Raw genomic sequence first — 19374 nt, forward strand, 5'->3', positions numbered from 1 at the left:
CTCGAAGTATAGATTCTAGAGCTGCACTGCTGAGTACACAGCACCAGCCGCATGTAGCTATTTAAACTTGTTAAAACATTCTTCAGCCACAACACCCCCATTTCAAGTGCTCAGTGGTCATGTGTGGTTACCGGCTACTGTATTGGAAAGCACAGATGTAGAATATTTCCATGACAGGAAGTTCTATTGGGCAGCATTATTCTAGAGCCCTGAACATTAATAAATCTTGAGTTTTAGCCCCTGTGCCCTGAAGAATTAACCACCCACAAAAATTTCCCCAGTTGAAAAAATTACATTGACTCTACCAGGATGTCTTTTTTTTTTTTTTTGAGACGGAGTCTCGCTCTGTCGCCCAGGCTGGAGTGCAGTGGCACGATCTCGGCTCACTGCAAGCTTCGCCTCCCGGGTTCACGCCATTCTTCTGCCTCAGCTTCCCGAGTAGCTGAGACTACAGGCCCCCGCCACCATGCCTGGCTAATTTTTTATATTTTTAGTAGAGACGGGGTTTCACCATGTTAGCCAGGATGGTCTCGATCTCCTGACCTTGTGATCCGCCTACCTTGGCCTCCCAGAGTGCTGGGATTACAGGCGTGAGCCACCGCACCCAGCGGTTTTTTGTTTTTTTTTTTTTTTTTTAAGACAGGGTCTCACTCTGTCGTCCAAACTAGAGTGCAGTGGCGCCATCACAGCTCACTGCAGCTTTGACCTCCTGGGCTCAAACAATCCTCCCACCTCAGCCTCCCAAGTAGCTGAGACTATAGGCACGTACCACCACACTTGGCTAATTTGTATATTTTTAGTACAGATGGGGTTTCGTCATGATGCTCAGGCTGGTCTCAAAATCCTGGGCTCGAGTTATCTGCCCACCTCAGCCTTCCAAAGTGCTGGGGTTACAGGCATGAGCCGCTGTGCCTGGCCCAGGATGAGACTTGATTAGATATTTAACATCTCTTTTAATATTTAATAAAATATCCCTTTAACAAAATGAAGAAAGATATTTTTAGCATACAAGTTATATAAAAGGATGTTATTTAAATCTAGAGCATCTGAACTGAATTTTTTCACAAATTTCTTTTGGCCCTACTCTATACTTAACTGTCCACAGATGAAAAGCTTAATATTTGCAAGTAATCCCCTCCAATTCCTCATTAATGTTTGTAAGGTATTTGCTTTCTACAGAAATTACACCTTTACAACCCAGAAATCCAACCTATTTGTAGTCTGTATTGCTGTTATTAGATGTGCTTAGATTTGATACTTATTTTAACTCCTTTTTTGTAAAAATTAAACAGAAATAAAACAGTCAAACACTAGATAGTATCAGTCATACTGAACTTAAATATGTCATATAAACGTTTTCTCAAGCTTGTGGACCCTACCTGGACATTCATTCATTCAATCAATTCATTCAATACTACTTAATCAGATAAGAAAGGAGCATCTCAAATAATTCAACCCACAACAGAACAAACACTTGAGGATAACATCCTTGTGGGGGAAATTACCATTGCTGACTTTATTTTCTCCCTTTTGTTACAGATTTAGGATGTTGCAGTCAAGCACCAGATAAGAGTGACTTCCCTAAATGTTATTCAAGGTCCCTTCAGAAATCTGATAATCTGTTAAAATTTTTGTTGTGAAATGCCTATTTTATCAGCACTGCTAACCAGATAAGCACACATTTAAGTTAACCATATCAGAGTGCAATGCATTTCGAAAAATCCAAAAAACTAAAAACAAGAAAATTACTTCCCCAGTAGCTAAGTCCCACCAAAATCCTGAGCGTCTTCAGACATTCAGAGACGCAAACAAAATTAAGATACCAAACTACAGATTCATAGTTCAAATACCCAATCAGATCTGTTATTCAATCTTGACAGAAATACGCAACTCATGAGGATTTTCTTAAAATGGGCCTAGTTCCTAGTCACTGTTCAATGAACATAATGATAAATATCAGGTGACAATCTAAAAGCTCTAACTTATACCATACAAATAATTTTTCAGTTAGGGTCAAACATAAGAATTATAAGATCAAGCCAATCAATCTCTTTCTCAAAAGGTGACTTGAGTAGGTATGTAAGCTATAATAGTTTATAAAATGCATTCAAAGTGGGTTTTATTTGGTCTTCTCAAGTAGTTAGATGACATTCTATTTGAGATAACATGAAACTGGACTGTATGTATGCATAGATGTAAATTCTGTGATTCATTAGCATTAAAAGGAAAAGTTAAGCCCTCTAATAGGAACAAACTAATCTGATATTTTAATTTTACACAAAGTTTAAATATTTAAGATAAAAAGAAATAAGGCTGGGCCAGGCACGGTGGCTCACGCCTGTAATCCCAGCACTTTGGTAGGTCGAGGCAGGCAGATCACAAGGTTAAGCGATCGAGACCATCCTGGCCAACATGGTGAAACCCCATCTCTACTAAAAATACAAAAATTAGCCAGACGTAGTGGCACAGTCCCGAGTAGTCCCAGCTACTCAGGAGGCTGAGGCAGAAGAATCACTTGAACCCGGGAGGCAGAGGTTCCAGCGAGCCAAGATCACACCACTGTACTCCAGCCTGGGTGACAGAGTGAGACTCTGTCTCAAAAAAAAAAAAAAAAAAAAAAAAGATATAAAGAAATAAAAGGAAAACATAAAATATACCAAACCTTACCACTTTGTACCTTGTTAAAGGAAGAACTGAAATTATCAATAAAAATCCAGTAAGAATTTTTGGCATGCCCATTTATTCAACATGATTAGGTAACTGTATCATATATGCACCATACAGGAATATCAAGTTTTTAAAAAAACAGAACACTGAGTATTAAAAAGGTATTGTGGCCTTAATTAAATCCTTGATTCAGAAGGCACTTCAGTAACTTTCAGTGCTTCAAAGTCATTAACATCATCACTGTACAGTAATGAAGAAAAAATTTGTACCATGTGCAATTTCCAGTATTTATGCAAGAAAACCTTATTTTAGGCATTTTTTTCTTTCTATACAATTAAAATAAAATAAGCATTAGTATGATTTTTACAAATATTGTTTATTTTAATGAAGCTGGTACAGACAATGTCCATTTAAAACCCATATCCCAGGCCAAAAAGTACAAATAAAATCAAAAAGAGCAGTGTTCTGTTGTATTCATTTCTGCATGTATAGCTTTATTAATTGCTAATGAAAATTAGAACTTTTCTGGGATCTTCTGACAAGATTTTTAAAAAATCTTAAAATGCCTTTTCTTCAGTGAAGCCATCTTTGGAGTTAGTCATTACTCTCACCTTATCTGTCATCTTGACTTCAACCTGATATTCCTCTTCTTTTGGTCCAGACCCTCAAATTTTAAAAGTAGCTTCAAGTTAAGGAAAGGTCATTTTTCCACAGTTCAGTTCTCTGAAAAACTTCCATCTCCCACTGAAAGTCACAGTCCAGGAGTGAAGTAATCACATGCTAGAACATCAGGGCCAATTGGAAAGTCATTATGAACACTTGCATTGGTCGATCTTATTTATCACCACAAGCCTGAAAATGCAATGTCCTGAAAAAGGTGACCTCTCTGTGCACACGTAATTTTTAAAAAGGAGAGGGTAATATGAAGGGGACTGAGGCTTGATCACCAAAAATCAGCACAATGAAAACAAACAATAATGAATAATGAGCACTAGAATTCAAATTACCAGATGTTTCAAAGAGATGGGGTGCCAGTTTTCAATTCCGTTTTGAACACCACATTACAAAAGAACTATTTTTAAAAATAAAAAAGGATTGAGGGAAAAGAAAAAAAATAAAAAGAATATCTAAACTGTTGAATGACCCCCCGTTTGTTCCTGATAAACTTCAATCACATCTTCTTCCTCCATTCCCAGCTGTAAGAGGAAAGAAAAATGTTAGACTATAAAAGCAGTTTTTAAATTGACTACAATTACGTGGCCACTAATTTAAAAGTGCAAAGAGATCCAAATGTGACCCATACTTACACTCCTCTAATATTAAGAATCCTGTGTTCTTTAATCTAAAGAATATAGAGGTGTCTTTCCTTCTGATTCTGTCTATTTAGTTATGCATCTTACTTTCCTGAGTCAATTTCACTTCCCAGTTTATTCGCTATATAAAACTGAAGTGTTTTTGACAGCCATGTTAAAGAACTTTTAAATCTAATGAAACATGTATTTAATAGTTTAAGTGATAGTTTAATAGGATATATCTAATTTGGTGTTTGTTTGTTTTTGTTTTTTGAGACAGGGTCTCATTATATTGCCCAGGCTGGAGTACAGTGGCACAATCTCAGCTCACTGCAACCTCAGCCTCCTGGGCTCAACCTCAGCTCACTGCAACCTCAGCATCCTGGGCTCAACCAATCCTCCCAGCTCAGCCTCCCAAGTAGCTAGCACTACAAGCGTGCGCTACCATACCTGGCTACTTTTTCTATTTTTAGTAGAGATGAGGTTTCGCCATGTTGCCCAGGCTGGTCTCAACTCCTGACCTGCAGTGATCCAGCCCGCCTCAGCCTCCCAAAGTGCTAGGATTGCAGGCGTGGGCCACTGTGCCTGACCAAAAAGTTTTAAATTTTATAGGTAACATTTTTGTGCAGAATTTTAAATATGAAAATAAAGTATGTTAAGAAATCTAAACATAACACATGTGAATTTAGGATTTTAAAGTGATCAGAATGGCTCTAGTAGTGTTAAGCTATCTTGGTTGTGGAACATATTTGAATATTTAAATAATTATTAAACATGCTTTTAGGCCAGGTGCAGTGGGTCACACCTGTAATCTCAGCACTTTAGGAGGCTGGGGGGGCGGCAGATCACCTGAGGTCGGGAGTTCGAGACCAGCCTGACCAACATGGTGAAACCCCGTCTCTACTAAAAATACAAAATTAGCCAGGCGTGGTGGTGCATGCCTGTAATCCCAGCTACTCAGGAGGCTGAGGCAGGAGAATCGCTTGAACCCGGGAGGCAGAGGTTGCGGTGAGCCAAGATTGTGCCATTGCACTCCAGCCTGGGCAACAAGAGCAAAACTCCATCTCAAAAAAAAAAAAAAAAAGATGCTTTTAAAACAATTTTAATTGCCCATATAGCATGGTAAATACTGCAAGGAATAAAATTCCAAGTGTTATTAGAAACCTTCAAAACAGGAAGACAGCATGAGTCCTTGAGCTATAAAGAATATAAAGCTACAAACTTCAAGAAGTACATTAACAGAGACAAGTGAACAACAGCACAGGAGGGTCACTCCCTAAAGACCTACTGTCTCCCACTGCACCAACATTCCTCTGAAAAAATAATCTCTTAATTACAAGGAATGTGTAAGGCATGTGTCAGTAAAATGTATTAGATATCTACTGTATGGTCCCAGAGATTATGCCAAGTTAAAGGAAAGTAAAAGATGAGTTTGGAACTTCTTACTGTGCCAGAAAGTAAGGAAGTGTTCAAGAAGGTGGTGGACACTAAACCTAAGGGGAATATTTGATGAGAAAGGGGATATTCGCATAGTTTCAAAGTGTGTCCCCTCAAATTACTTAATTGTAACAGGAAAAACAGTTAACTACAAAGTAAAAAAAAAAAAAAAAAAAAAGAGACAACACTTAAACTAAGTGATCAAAGCCTGGGCACATAGGGAGACTCCATCTCTACAAAAAATTTAAAAGCAGAGCATGGTGGCACATGCCTGTAATCCCAGCTATTCAGGAGGCTGATAGTGATAGGATTGCTAGAGCCCAGGCATTTGTGGCTGCAGTGAGCTATGACTGCATTCTAGTAGTCATACTAGAAAAACATAATATTTTTTTTTTTTTGAGACAGGGGACTCCTCGCTCTGTTATCCAGGCTCGTCTCGAACTTTTGGGCTCACTCAAGTGATCCTCCCGCTTCAGCCTCCCAAGCAGCTAGGACTATAGGCGTGCACCACCAATCCCAGCTATCAAATGCTGCACAATGTTATTTTATTTTATTTACTTTATTTTTGAGACAGGTTCTCACTCTGTCACCTAGGCTGGAGCACAGTGACATGACCAGGGCTCACTGCAGCCTCGACCTCCTGGGCTCAAGTGATCCTTCCACCTCAGCCCCCCAAGTAGCTGGGACTACAAACATGCACCACTAAGCCTAGTTAATTCTTTTTTTCTTTTTTTTTGAGACAGAGTCTCGCTCTGTTGCCCAGGCTGGAGTGCAGTGGCGTAATCTCGGCTCACTGCAACCTCTGCCTCCCGGGTTCAAGCGATTCTTCTGCCTCAGACTCCCGAGTAGCTGGGACTACAGGCACATGCCACCACGCCCGGCTAATTTTTGTATTTTTAGTAGAGACGGGGTTTCACCATACTGGCCAGGCTGGTCTCGAACTCCTGACCTCGTGATCCGCCCACCTCGGCCTCCCAAAGTGCTGGGATTACAGGCATAAGCCACTGCACCTGGCCAAATTTTTTTATTTTTAGTAGAGACGGGTTTTCGTCATGTTGCCCAGGCTGGTCTTGAACTCCAGGACTCAAGCAATCCACCCACTTTGGCCTCCCAAAGTGCTAGGATTACAAGTATGAGCCACCGTGCCTGGCCCACATGCTGTGCAATTTTAATTGGTGAATCTAAGGAATAGTTATACAGGAGAGTATTACACTATTCTCACAATTCAGTAAGTTTGAAATATTTTCAAAATAAAAAGTTAATAACCCTATATTGTTCCCACTATCAGAAATATCAGTAATGTTACTCTGTGTATGAAGGGAATCTATGTATATAGATACACACACACATACACACACACACACACTACTTTGAGATATCTCTATAGAGGGAAGATGGGTGGAATATAAAAGCAAAGCAAACTGCTCATAGAATAAAAAAATCAAATGAAGACAGAGAAGCATAAAAAAATAGGGTAAAACAAGATGACAGAGCCAAATATATTAATATACACTATGCTTCTGTATTAACATTCTCAAAATAGGTCAAAAATGAAAATCCAGCCATTAATGTTACCATCACCATGAAAGTATACCAGAAATTTACCAAATTTGAGGAACATTTGTCTATCTTCAAAAAGGATGTAGCATGTGACCTATGACAATTTCAGTACTCATTTTGTTTCTACCACCCTTTTTATTGGCACTTTTAAAGGCACTATAGGGGAAGTTCAACCCAAAACATTATTTCTTCTCTCCAACAAATGATATGCCATTTAAATCAGAGAATATTCAAGAAAAGGGCAGTTTTAACACCAGTGAACCAAACTGCTCAAAGGAGAATTTAAATTTTTTCTTGACTCAGGAGAAAAGTATACTCACTTCTTTTGGAGTATGATTATCAGCAATTCTCTGACCCTCAAAGAGAAACCTGAGTGAATTCATTGGAACACCCTAAAAAGGTAAAGATAATAATAATGCATACATACACACACAAATATTAGAAAACATAATGGTAACTTTGATGCACAAAAAGCAAGCATGAAAGCCTTAGAACACTACATAGAAAATAAAATTAGACAAGCTAATTCAATCATAAATACTATATACTGTACTGAGTAGCAACTATTTGCAAGGCCCTCCCTGTACCAATTCTTTACATACATAATCATAAGTGTTAAACACAACAACCCTGGAAGGTAGGTATTACCACCTTATCTTCATGTTACAGCTAGGGAACCTAAGGCTTGGAGCTAGCCAAGAATTTAAGCCCAAACCTGTTTCTAAGCCTATGCTCTTGACCACTACTCGATTCACTTTGCCCTAAATCTGTAAGCTAGAATAAAAGATCAGATCAGAAACTGGACGTGCACCCTCACTAGCTTCCAACTATACTGGCGAAATTGGTTTTAAACAGATTACATCATAAAATTTGGTAAAGCACAAATGGCTAGCTAGCTAATCTACCATAAACCTGGATGGCATAGATAGCGCAATATTACAAAATATATTAGTATACATTTTTCTAATCACTCTTCAACAAAAATAGCTGAAAGGGGAGACGGCTCACTTGAGGTCAGGAGTTTGAGACCAGCCTGGCCAACATTATCATAAAATCTGGTAAAGCGCAAATGGCTAGCTAGCTCATCTACCATAAACCTGGATGGCACAGATAGCACCATAAATATTACAAAATATATTAGTATACATTTTTCTAATCACTCTTCAACAAAAACAGCTGAAAGGGGAGAGACGGCTCACTTGAGGTCAGGAGTTTGAGACCAGCCTGGCCAACATAATGAAACTCCATCTCTACTAAAAATACAAAAATTACGGGGCAGGCGCAGTGATTCAGCCTGTAACCCCAGCACTTTGGGAGGCCGAGGCGGGTGGGTCACTAGAGGTCAGGAGTTCAAGACCAGCCTGGCCAACATGGTGAAACCCCATCTCTACCAAAAATACAAAAATTAGCCTGGCGAGGTGGCACGCGCCTGTAATCCCAGCTACTCGGGAGGCTGAGACAGGAGAATCACTTGAACCCGGGAGGTGGAGGTTGCAGTGAGCCAAGGTCGTGTCACTGCACTCCAACCTGGGCAACAGAGGAACACCCTGTCTAAAAAAAAAAATACAAATACAAATACAAAAAAAAATACAAAAATTAGCCAGGCCTGGTGGCAGGTGCCTGTAATCCCAGCTACTCGGGAGACTGAGGCATTGGGAATCACTTGAGTCCAGGAGGTGGAGGTTGCAGTGAGCTAAGACGGCACCACTGCACTCCAGCCTAGGCGACAGAGTGAGACTCTGTCTCAAAAAAAAAAAAAAAAAAAAAATCAATTCCCTGGCCTACAGATGGGGGGCGTAGAGACTATATGAATTTTCTTCAGAGTTATGAAAATTAAATGACGATGAATCTTTTTTTTTTTTTTTTTTTGAGACAGTGTCCCACTCTGCCACCCAGGCTGGAGTGCAATGGCGTGATCTCGGCTCATTGCAACCTCCGCCTCCTGGGTTCAAACGATTCTTCTGCCTCTGCCTCCCGAGTAGCTGGGATTACAGGCGTGCACCACCATGCCTAGCTAATTTTTGTATTTTTAGTAGAGACAGGGGTTTCACCATGTTGGTCAGGCTGGTCTCGAACTCCTGACCTCATGATCCGCCTGCCTCAGCCTCCCAAAGTGCTGGGATTAGAGGCGTGAGCCACTGTGCCTGGCCAATAATGTATCTTAAATACCTATGGCACAGTACACATAATTGAGATTTCAATAAATGTTTCTTTCCCCTGATGAATTTCATCTCAATTTTAACACCCAAAGTTATTACAAATGTGAAGTAGTTGAACCCCAATTAATGTGATTTTATTAAGTTAAACAATTAAAATCTACAAAAACAGAAGAGACAAAAATGCTTATTGTTTTACTTATCCTAACACCTAGTTTCTCTTTCTTATAATAAGTTTTTTTTAATGTGAGTTACAAATTTAAACTGTTAAAAGCAAACCTTCTAAAAATGAAATCTACAGGCCGGGCACGGTGGCTTATGCCTGTAATCCCAGCACTTTGGGAGGCCAAGGCGGGCGGATCACAAGGTCAGGAGTTCGAGACCAGCCTGACCAACATAGTGAAACCCCGCCACTACTAAAAATACAAAAATTAGCCGGGCGTGGTGGTGCATGCCTGTAATCCCAGCTACTCGGGAGACTGAGGCAGGAGAATCGCTTGAACCAGGGAGTCACAGGTTGCAGTGACCTGAGATCACACCACTGCATTCCAGCCTGGGCGACAGAGTGAAGACTCCATCTCAAAGAAATAAATAAATAAATGAAAATAAAATTTACAATACCTGAGTTAATATTATGTAATATAATTCAATTTTTTTTCTTTTTTTTCTTTTTTCTTTTTTTTTTTTGAGATGGAGTCTTGCTCTGTCACCCAGGCTGAAGTGCAGTGGCATGATCTCAGCTCACTGCAACCTCTGCCTCCCAGATTCAAGTGATTCTCCTGCCTCAGCCTCCCGACTAGCTGGGAATTACAGGCATGCGCCACCATGCCTGGCTAATTTTTGTACTTTTAGTAGAGACAAGGTTTTGCCATGTTGGCCAGGCTGGTCTTGAACTCCTGCCCTCAGGTGATCCGCCCGCCTCAGCCTCCCAAAGTGCTGGGATTACAGGCATGAGCCACTGCACCCAGCCTATAATTTAATTTAAGACTGATTAAACATATATTTCTTGCTTATTAAATCATAATTTCACTTAAACTATATCTTGGTTGTCTCATATTAATTCCAATTACATTTATTTTCAAAACCTATTTTATAAGGCCAGGCCTGGTGGCTCACGCCTGTAATCCCAGCACTTTGGGAGGCCGAGGTGGGCAGATCACCTGAGGTCGGGAGTTCGAGACCAGCCTGACCAACATGGAGAAACCCCATCTCTACTAAAAATACAAAATTAGCTGGGCGTGGTAGTGCATGCCTGTAATCCCAGCTACTCGGGAGGCTGAGGCAGGAGAATCACTTGAACTTGGGAGGCGGAGGTTGCAGTGAGCAGAGATCGTGCCACTGCACTCCAGCCTGGGCAGCAAGAGCAAACTCCATCTCAAAAAAAAAAAAAAAGAGAGATAATATACTAATAATACTACTACTTAAATTTAACATATGGCTAAACACTCATGATTAGAAGTACAAAAACAATCCATAGTAATCACCAAAAAATTACTTGCCTTTTTTGCTATATATACTGGTAAGCCATCAAGACAGAAACATTCATTTGAGCTCGCTTTTACAATTCTGAGTTACTTTTCAAACTAGTTCCCATCTTACGAATTCAAACTTTAAAATGGGCCACAAGACAAAAAAAGCAGTTAAGCAGGGTACAAGAAATGATAGAGTGTTTTCCTTGAGTTGCTAATGGTGAAAATAATAAAACAGGATTTTTCTTCTGACAATCTTCTATAAAAAAAAAAAAATTAACGACAAAGCATTGTACTTAATACCAAAATGGACGAACCTGTCTTTGACAGTATGATTCTTTGAGTTTCTTGAGATGTGTTGTCATTTTCACTTTGAAGTGAATCTCACTGCTATCCTAAGGAGATAAAAAAGAAAAAAATTATCCCTCTTTGTATAAATCATTTGCTTTACTTGAACCAAACTATTTAATTACACATATAGTGCAAATAGAAACATAAACCTTGTAACCTGTATTTTTCCACCACAATATTCTTTTTAGCATTCTTAACAGGTTTTCTTAAAACAGTGTAATCATCCTCAAAGTTACTGTATACCCATTACAAAAGAAACCGAGTAAAACAAAGTTAATCAGTCTTGAGTGTTAAAATTATCAGTATAAGTAAAAGTCTAAGTAAATGCATTCCTTCATTTGCCATTCTATTGTCAAAATAAAAGATGAACTATCGCATCTTTTATTTATCCCAATAGCAACTCAAAACAAAAAGTCTGTCCCCCCAAGTGAAGTGTCACTGAAGGTGGTCGCCTAGGAGAAAAGCAGTTAATTAGATAATAATTAATTGTATAAAATTCAATTTTATACAATAAGCGACTGAGAAATTTATTCCTGCCATAAAAAATCACCACATGGGGCTGAGCGCAGTGGCTCATGCCTGTAATCCCAGCAATTTGGGAGACCAAGGCAGGCGGATCACAAGGTCAGGAGTTCAAGACCAGCCTGGCCAGTATAGTGAAACCCCGTCTCTACTAAAAATACAAAAATTAGCCAGGCATGGTGGCACACACCTGTAGTCCCAGCTACTCAGGAGGCTGAGGCAGAAGAATTGCTTGAACCCAGGAGGTGTAGGTTGCAGTGAGCCAAGAACACGCCACTGCACTCCAGCCTGGGAAACAGAACAGTACTCCATCTCAAAAAAAAAAAAAAAAAAAAAATCACCACATGGAATCTGGTTTCTCTCACATGAGTAAAATGAGTAAGAACCTGAGTTAGTCAAACTGATTTGTGAGACCAAAAATTATTTTATTCTGCTCAGATTGTGAAACAAACTATCAGCCAGCCAATCCTCAGAAAAAATACTGTTACTTGCATAATGTAAACTTTCAAAGCCAAACTTCATGACTACATATCACATTCACAAATGTGTATTTGCAGAAGCTGCACATTTACAGTATTTTTCTTGTGACTGTAACTATGAAGAAATAAAATTATCTTCACATAGATCATTTCATAAACAGATAAAATTCTACAGCAAACCTCATGCTATACATTAAAATCAATTCCAGGCTGGGCATGGTGGCTCATGCCTATAATCCCAACACTTTGGGAGGCCAAAGCAGGAGGATCATTTGAGTTCAGGAGTTCGAGACCAGCCTGACCAACATGGTGAACGCCATTTCTACTAAAAATACAAAAAAATTAGCCAGGCGTGGTGGCGCATGCCTGTAATCCCAGCTACTCGGGAGGGTGAGGCAGGAGAATCGCTTGAACCCAGGACGCGGAGGCTGCAGTGAACCTAGATCTCGCCACTGTACTCCAGCCTGGGCAACAGAGTGAGACGCCATCTCAAAAAAAAAAAAAAAAAATCACTTGCAGATGAATTAAAGAGCTAACATTAAAATTTTTTTGGCCAGGTGCAGTGGCTCACTCCTGTAATCCCAACACTTTGGGAGGTCAAGCCGGGCAGATCACGAGGTCAGGAGTTCAAGACCAGCCTGGCCAACATGATGAAACCCTATCTCTACTAAAAATATAAAAAATTAGCCGGGTGTGGTGACAGTTGCATGTAATCCCAACTACTCGGGAGGCTGAGGCAGGAGAAGTGCTTGAACCTGGGAGGCGGATGTTGCAGTGAGCCGGAAGTACCACTGCACTCCAGCCTGCATGACAGGACAAGGCTCCACATCAAAAAAAAAAAAAAAAAAATTCTCAATATTTTCCCCTCAAGGGAGAATTTTTTTCCCCTAATTTTGGCCTTGGGATGCCCTATTGCAAAGCATGATTTTAACCTAGAAACCATAAAAAAAAGAGGTGGATAAATTTGACTTAATAAAAACATAAAACGTCTGTATAGTAAAAGATGCCATAAACAAAAGTTAAGACATACTGGAGGAAATATTCATAACATGTAACAGACAAGGAAAATGAAGACAATATTTTTAAAAATCCCACAAATTAATAATTCTTAAAAAGACATTCCATGGCATATGGACATATAGATAGATCAATGGCATAAAATTGAGAGCCAAGAAAAAACCCTTATATCTATAGTCAATTTTTTGACAAGGATACCAGAACAATTCAGTGAGAAAAGGACAGTCTTTTCAACTAATGGTCTGGGACAAACACCCATAAAAAATTATTCAAAATGATGAAAGATTTAAATGTAAGAGCTAAAACTATAAATAAAACCATAAAACTTTTTTTTTTTTTTTTTTGAGACAGGGTCTCACTCTGTCACCCAGACTGGAGTACAGTCACGTGATCACAGCTTACTGCAGCCTTGACCTCCCAGGCTCAAGTGATTCTCCCTGCTCAGCCTCCTGAGTAGCTGGGACTACAGGCATGTGCCACCACGCCCTACTAATTTTTTATATTTTTTGTAGAGATGGGGTTTCGCCATGTTGCCCAGGCTGGTCTCCAGCTCCTGAGCTCAAGCAATCTGCCCACCTTGGCCTCCCAAAATGCTGAGATTACAGGTGTGAGCCATTGTGCCCAGCCTTAAAACTCTTAAACCACAAGCGTAAACCTTTGTGACCCTGGATTAGGTAATGGTTTCTTAGATAAATTACAAGCAACAAAAGAAAAAACAGATGAACTTAATTTACCAAAATTAAAAACTTTACGCTGCAAAGAATAAAACCAAGAAAGTGAAAAGACAACTCAAAGATAGGAGAAAATCCATGCAAATCATATATATGATAAAGGTCTAATACCCAGAATAAAAGACATATTACCACTCAACAATAAAAAGACAACTAACCCAATTTAAAAATGGGCAAAAGATCTAAAGAACTTCATTTTTCCAAAGAAGATGTACTAATGGCCAATAAGTACATAAAAAAATGCTTGGCATCATTAGCCATCAGGAAAGAGCAAGTTGAAACCACAGTGAGATACCACTTCACACCCACTAGGATTATAACCAAAAATACGGATAATTACAAGTGTTGACCAGAATATGGAAAAACTGAAACCCTCATATGTTGCTGCTAGGAATGTAAGATGGTAGGGCCACTGCTGAAAACAGTTTGGCAGTTCCTCAAAAAGTAAAACATATAGTTGCATACTAGACCCAGCAATTCCACTCCTAGGTATATATCCAAGGGAGCTGAAAACATATGTCCATACAAAAACACACATGAATGTTCACAGCAACATTATTAATAGTAGCCAAAATATGGGGACAAACTAAATATCAACTGATAAATGGAAAACAAAATATATTCTACCCATATAATGGAACAGAATTCAGCCATTAAAAGGAATATAGTACTGATACATGCTACAGCATGAATGAACCTTGAAAACATGCTAAAACAAAGAAGCCAGGCCAGGCATAGTGGCTCACACCTATAATCCCAGAACTTTAGGCCAAAGAGGGAGAATCACTTAAGCCCAAGAGTTCAAGACCAGCCTGAGCAACATAGCGAGAACCCTGGAGAGGGAGACGGGGATGGGGAGGGGGGGAGGGGAGGGAGGGGAAGAGGAACAGGGAAGCAAGGCAGAAAAGAAGAAACAAACCAGAATAAAAAGTCACATATCAAAGCTAGGCATGGTGGCTCATGCCTGTAATCCCAACACTGTGGGAGGCCGAGGTAGGCGGATCATCTGAGGTCAGGAGTTTGAGACCAGCCTGGCCAACATGGCGAAACCCCATCTCTACTAAAAATACAAAAATTAGCTGGGCATGGTGGTGCACACCTGAAATCCCAGCTACTCAGGAGGCTATGGCAGGAGGGTCGCTTGAACCCAGGAGGTTGAGGTCGCAGTGAGTTGAGATCAGGCCACTGCACTCCAGCCTGGGTGACACAGCGAGACCCTTGCCTCAAAAAAAAAAAAAAAAAAAAAAAGCCATATATCTTATGATTCCATTTATATGTAATGTCCACAAAAGGCAAACCTATAGAGACAGAAAGTAGAATCATGGTTGTCACTGGCTGGAGGAAATAGGATGGGGAATGACTGCTAATGGGTACAGGGTGTCTTTTTGGGGTAATGCAAATGTTCTGGAATTAGTAGTGGTGATGGCTGCACACACTTGTGAATAATACTAAAGCCCCTGAATTATATACTTTAAAATAGTGAATTTTATAGTATGTGAATTTTATCTTTTAAAAGTTTTCAAAATAAAGCCGGCATGGTGGCTCACACCTGTAATCCCAGAACTCTGGGAGGCCGAGACGGGTGGGGATCACCTGAGGTCAGGAGTTCGAGACCAGCCTGGCCAACATGGGGAAACCCCGTCTCTACTAAAAATATTTTTTAAAAAAATTAGTCAGGCTTCGTGGCAGGCACCTGTAGTCCCAGCTACTCGGGAGGCTGAGGCAGGAGAATCACCTGAACCCAGGAGTGAAGGGTGCAGTGAGCCAAGATCACGCCATTGCACTCCAGCCTGCCAACAAGAGCACAACTCCATTTCAAAATAAAATTTAAATTTAAAAAATTTTGAAAATAAAAAATAAAAGTCTTCAAAATAAGATAATCACAGAAAAATGGGAAAAGGGTATGAACACAATTAACAGAAGAATATAAATGTAACAGACCAAAAAAATTATACCTTATTAATAATCAGGTAAATGAAAAATAAACAAAAATGTTTTACCTAGCATATTTGAACAAAATTTAAAGACTGTTAATATCCCATGTTTGGGAGAATATAGGGAAATGGTACTGTCACACTTCAATAGAAATACCACTGCACTCCATCCTGGGCGAGTCCACCCTTCCACCAATTCTCTGTCTTTTGTCCTTTAGAAAACCCACGTAACTATGTAGATTCATTCCTCCAACGGTTGTTAGCTAACCTTAATTAACATTTCAGAATCAATAAGATACAGACTAGAGCCAGGCGCGGTGGCTCACGCCTGTAATCCCAGCACTTTGGGAGGCCGAGGCTGGCGGATCACGAGGCCAGGAGATCAAGACCACCCTGGCTAACACAGTGAAACCCCGTCTCTACTAAAAATACAAAAAAAATTAGCCGGGCATGGTGGCGGGCGCCTGTAGTCCCAGCTACTTGGGAGGCTGAGGCAGGAGAATGGCGTGAACCCGGCAGGCGGAGCTTGCAGTGAGCCGAGATCGCACCACTGCACTCCAGCCTGGGTGACAGAACAAGACTCCATCTCAAAAAAAAAAAAGATACAGACTAGAGTCTAGGGAAATAGGGGGCCAGAAAAGGGTCAGGAAAAGGGCTGATAAACCTTTTACTTAAGGTTGGCCCTAGCCTTAACACTTAATAGTATTCACTGTATTTGCCCCTGAAGCACACTAACCAAGAAAACATTCCTATTTGGAAAAATTAAGATGATCTAAAACTGCCTGGCAGAGTAATTTAAAAAACAGTATCGGCCTCTTCTACCTCTAACAGATGCATACACAGTAAATTAAAATGCATACATAGTCATTTTAAAATAATTTGCCTTAAATAATTTTTTTTCCTGTGAAAAAGTATTCACATTGAAGGGGACTCAAAAGAGAAAAACAATGAAACTCACCTGTCCAATGACTTTGAGTTTAATATATTCACCTTCCTTCTTATCCCCCAAGTCCTCAGTTGAAGGTTTTGCCTCCTGAAAGAAAATTAAATTTCAAGATAAAAGTTCCTACATGCTATTTTAATTACTCACTTATGAGTATCCATTACTTTCATTCAGGATGCAAAATCTGCACCTGAGAATACAAACAGCATTTCTTTTCCATGCCAGTCAATTAAGAAAAAAAAATCCTAAGTCAATTACTGTCCCAAACGCCATTCACTAGAAATCAAGAAAGGGGTCTCTTTTATTATAATACCCCATAGTAATGGTCTAAAACTTTACCACGCATCAAAATCAGCTGAAGGACGTGTTAAACAAACTGCTGGGCCCAAGACCCAGTTTCTTATTCAGCACATTTGTAGTAGGGATAAGAATCTCTTTCTAACAAATTACCAGGTGGTACCGATACTACTGGCCAGAGGAACAACTTGGAAACAACTGCCCTACAGCCAGCTCTTACCAGCACAAAGGAAGTTCATCCTCCATGAATTTTTAGACAAACTTCTGAATCCAAGATTATCTTCTCACAGCCTATCATGAGGAGTTTACTTTAACTACAAAACTGTACTAAGAAATGTAAATTAATCATATTAGCATAAGCAAGGCTATTATTTATTATTTTTTTGAGACAGTTTCGCTCTTGTTGCCCAGGCTGGAGTGCAATGGCTCGATCTCAGCTCACCGCAACCTCTGCCTCCCAGGTTCAAGCAATTCTCCTGCCTCAGACTCCCGAGTAGCTGGGACTACAGGCATGCACCACCATACCCGGCTAATTTTGTATTTTTAGTAGAGACAGGGTTTCTCCATGTTGGTCAGGCTGGTCTCAAACTCCCGACCTCAGGTGATCTGCCCACCTCGGCCTCCCAAAGTGCTGGGATTACAGGCGTGAGCCACAGTGCCCAGCCAAGCAAGGCTATTTAGAAAGGAAAATCAAATAAGAAAGTATTAGCCTAATGTACTCTGGAGTCAAAACGAATCAGTTTTATATAATCAATTATTTTAGACTATCCGAAGCATAATGCTTAAGTTTAAAAGAGGAGACAAAAATAGGAGGACAAGATACTTGAGAGGCTGTGGCACTAGGACTGCTTGAGAGCCCAGGAGTTGGAGGCCAGCCTGGACAACATAGCAAGACCTCATCTCTTCAAAAAAAAAAAAAAAAAGATCACAAAAACAGTTACAAAACAATTTCCAATAAAGAGATACTGAAATGAAAATGAGGTTAACAGAATAAATTAGTTAAAACAACTTCACCATGAAGTATCTCAAGAATAAGCAAATCATTTTTAGTAAAGGGGGTACCTTGGAAAATTTCATGAATAATGTGGTAAAAAAGTAGCTTTTTTTCTCTATGTGCTACACCTTAGTTTGGCCACCAAATTACCCACTTATTTAGATATATACCTTATTATCCGTAATAATTTCAAGCAGTTAATCCGTATTTGATAAGAATAACCATAACCATTACCTGTGTATCTCATGCCAGTAACTTAAAATACAAAATTCTTTAACATTCAACAATTAAAAGAACATATTAAACTAGAAGCAGCTTTTAACTTTAAAATACAGGCTAGAGTCTAGGGAAATGCTTAGATAACAGAACTGATTTCATTAGTATGAATCCTTGCCTGTTTTTCATTCTGCAGTGCTTTTAACATTTGCTGACTACTGACTATTACAGCAGCAGGCAAAATTAACCTTCTTTAGTGAGACAGTATTTCACCTGAAAACTAGAAGACTGTCTTCAAATATAGTCTCTCCACATTTCTATGAATTTATATTCATAGTAAACAGCTGCTTCTTCCTCTAAGTATCTAGAAGGCAAAGAGCTTATTCCATGCAGTGAAGGGCAATAAACAGCAACCAAGCCCTGAGTCCTCTGTAACTGGAAGGAGAGGAGGCCTTAAGAAGCTTTGTTTAAGTTACCACAAAGGACAGCCCCCTCCCCTAGCAGCAATATATCAGCACAACATGAGTGGCTTTGCTCCTGTGTCTCCTAGATAGGGTAGCTATAGCGGCTACTCAGCACAAAAGAATTCTTCCCCTCCTCCCCTCCATCATCCTCAGTGCTTCAGAATTCTCCTAAAGTCCAGCTTCTCCAATCCTGTAACTACTCAGATCAAAAAGCATAAATACCTTCCAGGACTTTAGGGCCTATAACCTAACTCTATAGCATGACATTCTCTGCTTCCACCATCAAGCTCAATTCTCATTTTTCTCTCATCATTCACTCAACATACCCAAAGATTCTGTTCAATTGGACTATTTGCTGTTCCCTGAATATGTCCATTAGCATTACTTCAACTTCAGCCCTTTGCGGCCCTAGTTTCATTTACCTGGAATATATATACATATCCTCTCTCAGCCTCTCTTGAAATCACCTCAAGGATATCTACCTCACACATGAACTTAAGTTCAGTATTTTTTTTTCTTTTCTTTTTTTTTTTTTTTGAGACAGATTTTCGCTCTTGTTGCCCAGGCTGGAATGCAATGGCACAATCTTGGTTCACTGCAACCTCTGCCTCCTGGGTTCAAGCGATTCTCCTGCCTCAGCCTCCCAAGTAGCTGGGATTACAGGAGTGTGCCACCACGCCCGGCTAATTTTTGTATTTTCAGTAAAGATGGGGTTTCCCTATGTTGGCCAGGCTGGTCTCGAACTCCTGACCTCAGGTGATCCACCCACCTCAGCCTCCCAAAGTGCTGGGATTACAGGCTTGAGCCACTACGCCCGGCCTGCTTTTTTTTTTTTCTCTTTTCTA

The 19374-nt window shown here is 39.9% G+C and overlaps 2 protein-coding genes across 9 annotated transcripts in view; one reads left to right on the plus strand and one right to left on the minus strand.

Annotated features, from left to right (window-relative positions):
* Positions 1–1730, plus strand: part of KIAA2012 — a 131934-nt gene extending 130204 nt beyond the window's left edge. For both annotated transcript variants that reach the window (NM_001277372.4, NM_001367720.2), the window contains exon 24: positions 1540–1730. The gene's annotated coding sequence lies outside the window, so the exon portion shown is untranslated. The remainder of the gene's footprint in view (positions 1–1539) is intronic.
* The window catches only part of SUMO1 (small ubiquitin like modifier 1), a 32427-nt gene continuing 15765 nt past the window's right edge, over positions 2713–19374 (minus strand). Inside the window, exons 2-6 of one of the 7 annotated variants that reach the window (NR_163943.1) lie at positions 16574–16648; positions 10899–10976; positions 7277–7348; positions 3675–3863; positions 2713–3447 (exon numbers count right to left, since the gene is read on the minus strand). Coding sequence is in view for 6 of the 7 variants with exons in the window: in NM_001371394.1 (NP_001358323.1) it covers positions 3795–3863; positions 4410–4544; positions 7277–7348; positions 10899–10976; positions 16574–16648 (429 nt within the window). In the remaining variant the exon portion in view is untranslated. Of the gene's footprint in view, positions 3864–4409; positions 4545–7276; positions 7349–10898; positions 10977–16573; positions 16649–19374 lie in introns of all 7 variants that reach the window. The other 6 variants (NM_001005781.2, NM_001371394.1, NM_001371392.1 and 3 more) reach the window with 6 other exon arrangements.

This window comes from Homo sapiens, chromosome 2, assembly GCF_000001405.40.
Source record: "Homo sapiens chromosome 2, GRCh38.p14 Primary Assembly".
Lineage (NCBI taxonomy): Eukaryota > Metazoa > Chordata > Mammalia > Primates > Hominidae > Homo > Homo sapiens.